General features: G+C 58.1%; 1 protein-coding gene across 2 annotated transcripts; it reads right to left on the reverse strand.

Moving 5' to 3' along the window:
• On the reverse strand, positions 3,145–7,679 carry CABP2 (calcium binding protein 2). 2 transcript variants are annotated; one of them, NM_016366.3, is made up of 7 exons: positions 7,518–7,679; positions 6,779–6,949; positions 6,185–6,215; positions 5,258–5,392; positions 4,284–4,393; positions 4,026–4,173; positions 3,145–3,397 (listed from the first exon to the last, which is right to left on the reverse strand). In NM_016366.3, exons 1-7 carry the CDS (start codon positions 7,557–7,559, stop codon positions 3,372–3,374), a joined length of 663 nt encoding a protein of 220 aa, NP_057450.2. In that variant the 5' UTR covers positions 7,560–7,679; the 3' UTR covers positions 3,145–3,371. The 2 variants fall into 2 exon arrangements, with proteins under 2 accessions (NP_057450.2, NP_001305425.1); NM_001318496.2 differs by having other exon boundaries at positions 6,775–6,949.

A 9,753-nucleotide genomic window follows, 5' to 3' on the forward strand; every position in this document is an offset into this window, starting at 1 on the left:
TCTATCTATCAATCATCAATCATCTACCAAGATATCCTATTGTTCTGTTTCTCTGGAGAACCCTGACTGATATATAGGGGAATCTGGGCGTGGGGTATTGGGAAACCCTCTGTGCTATCTTCACAGTCATTCTGTAAACCTATAGGTCTTTTGTTTGTTTGTTTGTTTGTTTATTTTGAGATGGAGTCTCACTCTGTTGCCCAGGCGGGAGTTCAGTGACACAGTCTTGGCTCACTGACACAATCTTGGCTCACTGAAACCTCTGTGTCCCGAGTTCAAGCAATTCTCCTGTCTCAGTCTCCCGAGTAGCTGAGATTACAGGAGCCTGTCACCACGCCTGGCTAATGTTTGTATTTTTGGTGGAGTCGGGGTTTCACCATATTGGCCAGGCTGATCTCGAAATCCTGACTTCAGGCGATTCACCCGCCTCGGCCTCCCAAAGTGCTGGGATTACAGCCATGAGCCACTGCACCCGGCCTAAATCAGAAGATCTTATAGCTTGGGGCTGCTCTGGCAAGAATCGGAGGAGTTGGGCAGCAGGTGCCCCCTGTAGCGGGGGCAGGGGTTCTGGACTTGCCATAGTTTCAACCCTGCCCACTGTTCCTTCCCCAGCCTAGTGCAGCCTCGATCTCACAGGCTTAAGGGATCCCCTGCTCCAGTTGCTATCTGTTGGGAAGTGTGTGTGAGATTTGGGGGAGCTGGGAGCACTTCTTTTGCCAGCAGACACACTGCCCTGATTCAGACCACCCCACAGCCACTCCCAGTTCTCTAGCCGCAGAGCCTGCCAGGCTGAGGCCTGGGGAGGTGGTGGGAGGCTGACCCTGAGTAGGGTTCTGATTTCCCTTTTCCTCATGGCCATCACTACCCCTCAGCCCCTGCAGCAGGGACAGGCATCTTCTCAGGCAGCAATACCATCTGTACCAGCCGTGAGGGTGGTGGAAGGAAGGGTGGGAGTGTGGATCCTGGCTCCCAGAGAAGCCACTGAGGCTGGGGCAACTTATCCACATCCCTAGTCCTGCCAGATTGGCAGAGGTGATTACCTAATTGAGGATTAAGGATTAATTGAGATCTGCCAGGAGAGTGGTGCTGAGGCCACTGCAGCCAGCTCCAGCACCTCAGCATCCAGTCTCCAGAATGCGCAGCGCACATCCCCAGGCCGCCTGCCTGCTTTGTCCCAGGGCCATCTTGTTGGCAGGCGCCATGTGAGGACCAGGCACAGGCACTGGGCACTCTCACCCCTTCATGATGAGGAAGGTCAGGGGTCGTTCGCTCCCAGCAGGCAGAAGCTGCAGATGAGGCTTGCGGCATAGCTAGAAGAGGCCAAGATCTGGCCTGGGCCGGTCCTGACTCCGAGGCACCCTCCCTAGTTGGCACTGTAGTTTCAGAGTCCCTGGGCCTGGGTGCAAGTCCCACCACCCTTCATCCTGATTGTGTGTGGCTTTATGCCACTCCCGTGTTCTCCTGGAACCTCTGTGCAGGCAAAGGCCCTGGATTAACCTGGGGGTAATGGAAAGTCATGGCGAGGTCCTGAACAGGGGTGTGACAAAATGCAAGTGGCATTTTAGGAAGAATAGCCTAGCCGCGTGTAGGGATAGAGGGCAGTGAGGCCACGTAGTCTCTAGCAGGTCACTTTGACTTGGTGCTATTGTTTATGTTATTATTATTTTTAGTTAAAAAAGTGTTTTTTAGAGACAGGGTTTTGTTCTGTTGCCCAGGCTAGAGTGCAGTGGTGCAATCATATAGTTCACTGCAGCCTTGACCTCCTGGGTTCCCGTGATCCTCCCACCTCAGCCTCCCAAGTAGCTGGGACTACAGGTATGCACCACCACACCTGGCTAATTTTTGCTTTATTTTTGTAGAGATAGGGTCTCGCTATGTTGCCCAGGCTGGTCTCAAATTCCTGGCCTCAAAGTGCTGGGGTTGCATGCATGAGCCACTGCACCTGGCCCGCGTGCTGTGGCTCTGATGTTCGTGTCCCCTCCAAAATGCATGTTGAAACTCAATCCCCAGTGCAGCAACGGTAAGGGGTGGGGCCTTTAGAAGACGATCGGGCCATGAGGGCTCTGCCCTTATGGATGGGATTAGTGCCTTATAAAAGGGCTGGGGGTGGCGGTGGGGCGGGGGGAGTAGCCAGGCCCTCATGTGCTTCCTGCCTTTCTGCTACGTGAGGCACCCTCTGGAGGAAGCAGCTCAAGGCACCATCTTGGAAGCAGAGACCTGGCCCTCTCCAGACACCCAACTGCCTGCACCTTGACCCTGGACTTCCCAGCCTCCATAACTGTGAGCAATAAATTCATACTGTTTATAAAATACCAGTCTAAGGTATTTTGTTATAGCAGCAGGAAAGGATGAGGGCACTCAGCCTGTCAATTTCTTCAATCTGGAAAATGGGGCCCTGAAGACTGGGATATGCTTTGAGTGTCTGGGGTCCTCCAGGAGGAAGATGCTGAGATGGAGTTAGGGAGGGAGGAAGGTAAAGGGGGAGGAAGCAGGACTGGGCAGGCGAGCCTCTGACTCCACGCAGATCTGTCTGCCTTGGCCGCCCCAAAGGGGAGCTCAGAGCAAAGACTGCCCATTAGAGGAGCCTTGCATTAGGCAGAAATGTCCAGGTCCTGGTTCCCCATGCTGTGCTCAGTTAGTGGCTGGGGGCTCCCTGGATGAGTGAGGTGTCAGCCCAAAAGCTGAGGTGTCTCCTGAAGGGGCCAGTGGCTGAGCCCTTTTGCTAACTCACCCACTTCTCTAAGTTGAACTGCGTGTACTTGAAGTGAGCTCTGAGCAGTGTGCCTCCAAGGCTACTGCAGGAAAAGTGAGACCAAGCTTGGGAAAGGTCTTCTTATAGTACTTGCTCCACGCTCGAATGTAATCATGCAGGTAGCAGGAGCTGTTCTCAGGATACACGGCAGGAACTGTGGAGGCCAACATACGCCTGAGCTTGGGACAAGAAGGCTTTGTTTACTCGCTAGGGATGTTTCCTGACACTTGCTCTGGGCTGGGTCCAGGATCCAGAGAGGAATAAGAGAGGGTCCCCATCTCCCTGGAGCTCACAATGGACGGGGCTTGTGATCCAAGGGGACAGCCCCAGTACTTGATTTTGGGGGCCAAATACTGGAGCCTCCAGGATAAGCAAGTGAGAGGCAAAAGCCATCTCCCCAGGCTTGGAGATATTTTATTGTCAGAGAGACAGAGACAAGGCCAGGCGGCTTTATTGGAGAAGTGGTGGTGGGGGTGAAGGCAGGCAAGGGCACTGCACACAGGTGGGATGGGGAGGAAAGGAGGGTCCCCGCTAGAGGCGATGGGCTTCAAGGAACATGCTGGTGGGCAGAGGCTGTGGTCCTTGAGTCCTTTATGCTGCCTCCAGCTTCTGTACAGGCTCACCGAGACATCATTCGCACAAACTCTGCCAGGACGAAGCCAAGGTTTTGGGTCTGTTCTCTGGACTGCGCTAGGAGTGAGGATCATCTGCAGGCCTTGGGGCGGGTGGGAGTGTGGTTGAGGGGAGGGTCTTCAAGGGCATCCTCTGGATCTGATAGGGAATAGGCCTCAGAGCCGGGAAGAGGAGGCTTTGTCTTATGGGGGAAAAACAAACAAACCCTTGTAATGGAACTTGTTTTCCTTTTTGCTTTGACAGCTAGGAAGCTCAGGAGCAACTTTGAGGCCTACTTATGGCAATACATTTCCACATAGTAATTTTCCTTGGCTTCTATTATTATTTAATCATTTTACCCCTTTATGGGAATGCAGCATAGAGGAAGAGCTGGGTTCTGGATCAGGCTGCCCAGATTCAAATCTTGACTCCATCTACTTGCTTTTTTGCTAAGTGCCTAGGCTTTCCTGAGAATGGACTTTCTTCTCTTGCCTATGGGGATAACAATTCCTTCCTCTCGGATTCTCCATGATAATTAACTAGGAGAGGACATGGGAGTGCGTGGCACAGGGTCTGGTGCCCAGTGGTGACTCTTGCTGTGCGGTTTCTTATCTGCTAGGACCCTTCCAGGGCGTGTGTTGCTATGTGCGGCAGGGGGTACCTTCGAAGTCGACCAGACCGTCCCCATTGAGGTCCACGTCCTGGAGGATCTCGTCCACCTCCCGCTGGCTGAGGCGCTCCCCCAGCAGGGCCTTGAGGGCCGCCCGGAGCTCGCCCACGCTGATGCGGCCGTCCCCATTGGTGTCGAACTGTGGCGGCGTTGGTTGTGGCGTCTGGTCACTGACAGTCATTCACACGCGCAGCCCCTCACTCACGGCAGACACGCAGCCCTGCCCGCCCTCAGCCCCAGTGGCCGCACCTCCCGGAAGGCGTCCCGTAGCTCCCGGACACCGATCATGTCTGCCGTCTCTGCCAGCAGCTTGGGGCCCATCAGCTCCACGAAGTCTTCAAAGTCCACCTTTCCGCCACCTGGGGGTCCCGTCCATTACAGACCCAGGGCATCAGAGACCCCTGCCCCTCCCTGGCCCTCCCTCCTCTGCCCTCTGCCTTCCCTTCGTGAATGGATCCTTTCCTCCCTCTGCGCCAGAAGCCTGGGTCATCTGTATTTCCCAATGGGAATCGCCCTCCAAACAAGGCACAGATTTGGCCAAAAGTGAAAGGAAAACCACTCTCAAAACTTATTGGGCCGGGCACGGTGGTTCACGCCTGTAATGCCAGCACTTTGGGAGGCTGAGGCGGGTGGATCACCTGAGGTCAGGAGTTCGAGACCAGCCTGACTAACATGGTGAAACCCCGTCTCCACTAAAAATACAAAAATTAGCTGGGCATGGTGGCAGGTGCCTGTAATCCCAGCTACTCAGGAGGCTGAGGCAGGAGAATTGCTTGAACCCAGGAGGCAGATGTTGCAGTGAGCCGAGATAGCGCCATTGTCACTCCTGGGTGACAGAAAAAGACCCCATCTAAACAAAAAACAAAAAACAAAAAACAAACAAACAAAAAAACCAAAAAACTTCTTGGAACTTTCCTTAATTTTCCTGAACTCTTCGGTTGGGTTCAAGTCCTGGCTCCAAGGAACTTGCTGTGTGACCTTAGACAAGTCACTTAGCCATTCAGTTGCCTCATCTGCAGAATGAGGATCACAGTCCTTGCTGTGCCCACCTCCTAGAAGCTGGTGAGATTCTCCAGAGGCAGAGAGCTTGCCTTGAGAATGACCAAGGTCATGGGCTCTGGGGACAGCCTGTGCAGTCACCTGTGTACCTGGACTGCTTGGCTTCATGGGCCCAGCGGGGGCATCTGGAGGACTGGGGATGGGGATGGGTCCGAGGCACATACTGATTTGTTGTGAGATCTCGATGAGCTCCATCTCGGTGGGCATGTAGCCCAGGGTCCGCATGCAGGCACCCAGCTCCCGGCAGCCAATGTAGCCGTCCCGGTCTCGGTCAAACTCCTGGAAGGCGACCTGCAGCTCTGCCAGGCAGGGTGGGGTCAGTCCTTCCCCCACAACCCCCTGATCCTGGCCTGGACCCGCCTACCCTTCTCCCTTGGTCCAATCATCCCTCCTTCTGAACATCAGATTCTCTTTGCTGCCTCGGGGCCTTTGCACGTGCTGTTCCTGTTATTTGTTCTTTCAGCAAATATTTGAGGAGCATCTACTATGTGCCAAGCTCTGCTCTAGGCACTGGGGATACAGCAGTGAAATTTTTCAAAAAGGAAGAAAGAAAGAAAGTGGGGGAAACAAATTCTGACCTCTTGGAGATTTCCTCACTCTTCCCCTTCCTCTTTGGTCCTATGTCACCTACTAAAGGAAGCCATCCCTCTACATGTGGCCTCCCCCGGCCCATTTGTCCCTTTCCTGGAGAGCACATGCACCATTTGTACTTGTAGCTGACTAATTGACGTTGGTCTCCAGAGGGCACGGGCCATATCTGTCTAGCTGGCCATGTTTCCCAGTGCTCAGCCAGGGCCAGGCACACAGTGGGCACCCAGGAAGTGTCAGCTGAATGAACAAATATAAAAGGGGCCCTGTCACCTGCCTGGTGAGTGAGACCAAGGAATGACAGCTGGGTGGGGGTCTGTCATCCCCTCCCTGCTCAGTCTTGTCCCCATTTCCCTAAACTGGTCCCCTGCAGCCTTCTTGCTCCCACTTCCTCCTGGAAACACTGAGGCCCCCACCCGATGCCCCCCCAACCCTGTGTCCCCACCCCATGCCCCCCATGCCACCTCCCCTTCAGGGAACCAGTTCCTTCTCCAACCCTTTACCTTCAATCTCCTCGGGCCGCAGCTCCCGGTCCTGAAGGGCACAGAGGGGTTAGGAATTCCCTGCTCCTACTGATGACTGTGCCCTTCCTTCTTGCTTCCCGGGGCTCCCCACCCAGCCCCACAATCCAACACGCACACGCAGGGCCTGTGTCTGTCTGATTGCTCGGCCCTGGTTCCCACCCCATCCTACTCACTGGCCTGGGTAACCGGGTGCCCCCTTCCCTGCTTCTGGCCTAGGTCACTCCTTGGGCCGTCCTCACCTACTCCATCACCCTCTTCTGGGGCAGGGGGCTCCCTTTGCTGGTGGTGGATCTGGGGTTTGGGCAGAACCTCAGACTTGGTCCCGCCAGCCTCAATGTCACTGTTGATCTCTCTTCCATTTCTAGAGTCATTGCTCTCTCCCCTCTCTGCACCCCCACCCCAGATCTGTGTACCTTTGCTCTGATGTCCCCACTCAATCCTCTTCCCCCTAGCTCCAGGAGAGGCAAAGCGAGGGGCAAGGGTAGGTGGGCTGGAGTGCGAGGGGCAAGGGCAGGTGAGCTGGTGGGAGAGGGGCAAGGGCAGGCAGGCTGGCGGGCGGGTGGCCGTACATACGAGTTGGGTGGCGGCAATGCTGGGCCGCAGGAAGATGCAGGCAGGCCCCACCAGGCTGTTGAGCACCGAGTAGCCCTGGACGCCTGGCGCGGGGTCCCCCTGCTCCTTGGGGCTGGAGCTGGGGCTGGGGCAGGAGCCCCTTGGTGGGGAGCCGAGCCACTGCAAGGGGTCCTGCAGCAGAGCCGGCCGTGAGCTGGGGCAGTGGCCGCTGAGCTCTGGGCCTGATAGCCCTCCCCACTCCTCTCACCAGCTGCTCCTGTCTTTGGAGCCCGGCATGGGACAGTAGGGAAGGGGCTGGGGGGTAGAGAGAGGACCCTCACCCGTGAACTCTTTAGGCAGAAAGGGTCAATCCTCTAACTGTTCTGTTGGGCAAACTGAGGACCAGAAAAGGCAAGAGACTTGGCCAAGGCCACTGAGAAAGCCAGCGGCAGAGAGGGACCTTGTGCCCAGCTCTGTCTCCTAGATGGAGGCTGGCTAGCAGAGAGCGGGGACCTGCAGCCGGGATGGGGCAGCTGGACGGGCAGCTGGGGGACCTGGAGCCTGGCAGGGGAGACCCAGAGGTCGGTGGGAGCCAAGATCAGGATGGCCAGAGGCTGTGGCTTCCAGGAAAAAAATCTCCACCTGGGGCAGTGGGCAGCCCCCAACCCCGCCCGGCCCTCGGAGGGCTCTGCCCATCCCATCTGACCCTCAGGGTCCATTCCAGCCTCCTGGCCTGGGTTTCTCCCCTGACCCCTCCTACCTTAGGGCCCCGGCGCCAGGGCCGCTTGGCACAGTTCCCCATGGGCCCTGAACCATGCCAGGCCTGGAACCCCGGGGGTGGCCCGGGTGGGCCTCGGCGGATGCTGCTGCCTGAGGACTCCTGCCAGCCCCCAGCTGCTCCCGATGAGAGCCTGGGAGTACTGCCGGGGATTTTCCTGGGGTTTTGTGGGGAAGATCGGGGGCGGGTGGGCAGGCGGGGGACTTGGGCCTGGGGCTTGGGTCCTAATCCGGGATTATCTTTGAGCGTCTCCGCTGCTGAGGGGAGCCACTTGGGCCCAAGGCCCCCTGGAGAGCACAGCCTCCCCAGACTGCCTCCTGAGGGTCTTCCAGACGCCCCTTCTCCAGCACCCTCCCCCAACCCCTGCCTCTAATCTCTCCCAATCAGGGGAGATTTAATGTCTTCAGAAGCAGGGCCTGGGTCCCAGGAGGAGGAAGGCAGGCGTGCAGTGTGCCAGGGTGGGCTGGGCCCTCCGAATGGCACAGATTCCGGTTGGTATGGACACGCGGGCCTTCCCACACAGCCTCCCAGAAAGAGGCAGCCACTTGGCTCAGCCCAGGAAGCCCCTGCCTCTCCCTGCCAGGACCCCAGCTGGGCCCTGGGCTCCTCACCTCGGGGTAGCCCCAATTGCTTGCACTTGGCTCCCCCTGCCTGGACTGGTGCCCCGCCCTTGGATGAGGAGCAGAAGGGAACCGCCTATGTGCTGTGGGCAGTGACAGGGCTCGGTGAGGGTGGAGATTGGGAAGGGAAGCCACCCCGGCCCTGCCGACCTCAGAGAGTCTCCCATTGGACTCTGCCTCCTGGTCCCCTCCCTGGACTAAGTCCTGGGTCTGTCCTCCGGGGCCCCCAGTTGGGGTGTGGGGTCCCTGCTCTTTGTTCCTGGTCCCCTCATACCCCTGCCCGCATTACCTGCCCGTAGGCTGCCTGCACCTGGGCCTCGAGCTCCCGGAGAAGCTCTCGTCGCCGGGTGGCTGCTGGGCTGCCAGGGGCCTGGCTGGTTCCTGGAGTGCCCTCAGAGGGGCTGGGGTCCCCCGTTGGGAGGCTGCCCTCTGCTGGGCCCTGGGGCTGGGCCATGGAGATGAGGGCTTGGTACCTCCTCCTGGCTGAGGGACGCTGCTCCGTCCGGCCTCCCCAGTCCTGCGGGAGAGTGGTCTTGTGGGCAGCCACAGGTGTGGCCTGGGTCCCTGCTACTCTTCTTTCTGTCCCTTCCTCCATAAACTGGGAGAGCCCCGTGTCCCCAGAGTCTTGTATCCTCCCTAGCTCCCCGTGGCCCCTCGTGTGGCCCTGTCAGCCTGGTGAAGCCCCTCATGCTGGTCACAGACTGTGCCCGGGGCTCCACCTGATCATCCTTGTGGCCCCAGTGGTCGGCCCTCCTGCCTGCCTTTGGCCTCCTCCCCCGCAGTGTTCTGCCTGCATCTCTCTGGCTCACGCGCACCTGATGCCCCACACACCTCCTTGCTCAGTTTCCATCTCACCGCCTGCCCCTCTGTGCCCCCTCTGCCTCTGTGTCTGTTTTGCCTGCAGCCCCGTCTCCATCCCCTCTGACTCGCCGCCATCTCTGTCAGTCTGGATCCAGTGGTGTCTCTGCCGTCTCTGACCCACTCAGCCCATCTCTCTGCTGGCTCCTTCCCTCTGTTGCTGCAAGGTCCTTTCTTGCATTGGTCTTTCTGTCTGTCCTTCCTTGCTCTTCCTATTCTCCCCACCATCCCGCTCCCAGGAGAGCTCCAGAATTCTGGAAAGGCCTTCCCCATCTCCCCAGCCCAGAGCCCTAGGGTCCGTCTGTGCTGCCCACCTCCCTGCCTCCCTCCCTCCTCCCCAGGGTCCCTCTGTGCTGCCCCCTCCTTCCCTCCCTCCTCCCCAGGGTCCCTCTGTGCTAGCCCCCTCCTTCCCTCCCTCCTCCCCAGGGTCCCTCTGTGCTAGCCCCCTCTCCTCCCCAGGGTCCCTCTGCATTGCCCACCTCCCTGCGTTCTGCCAGGACCTCCACCTGGTCCTGCTGACCTTCAACCTCTTGCTTCTCAAGGAAAAGGGGTGGAGGTGGGCCGGGCAGCCCCTGCTGGCCTCTCAGGCTTCCTTGCCATGACCCCAGCCCACTCCCCACCCAGCTGCCCGCTCTTCAACTCCCAGAATGAGGTCATCATCCTGCCCCGGCTCCATTCCAGGCCCCTCATGATTTATTCATCTGTCCCCCACACTGGCCTTTGTCTAAGGGAACCAGATC

This window comes from Homo sapiens, chromosome 11 (assembly GCF_000001405.40).
Source record: "Homo sapiens chromosome 11, GRCh38.p14 Primary Assembly".
Classification (NCBI taxonomy): Eukaryota; Metazoa; Chordata; class Mammalia; order Primates; family Hominidae; genus Homo; species Homo sapiens.

What these genes read in the sequence shown, in the direction of transcription:
- CABP2 (NM_001318496.2), bottom strand. Translation starts at nt 7,573, where the DNA reads ATGGTTCAGGGCCCATGGGGAACTGTGCCAAGCGGCCCTGGCGCCGGG. An exon ending in TGCCGCCACCCAACTCGTAT is followed by an intron (nt 6,216 to 6,774) that starts GTACGGCCACCC and finishes TGTGCCCTTCAG; the next exon opens with GACCGGGAGCTGCGGCCCGA. An exon ending in CGGTCTGGTCGACTTCGAAG is followed by an intron (nt 3,398 to 4,025) that starts GTACCCCCTGCC and finishes TCGTCCTGGCAG; the next exon opens with AGTTTGTGCGAATGATGTCT.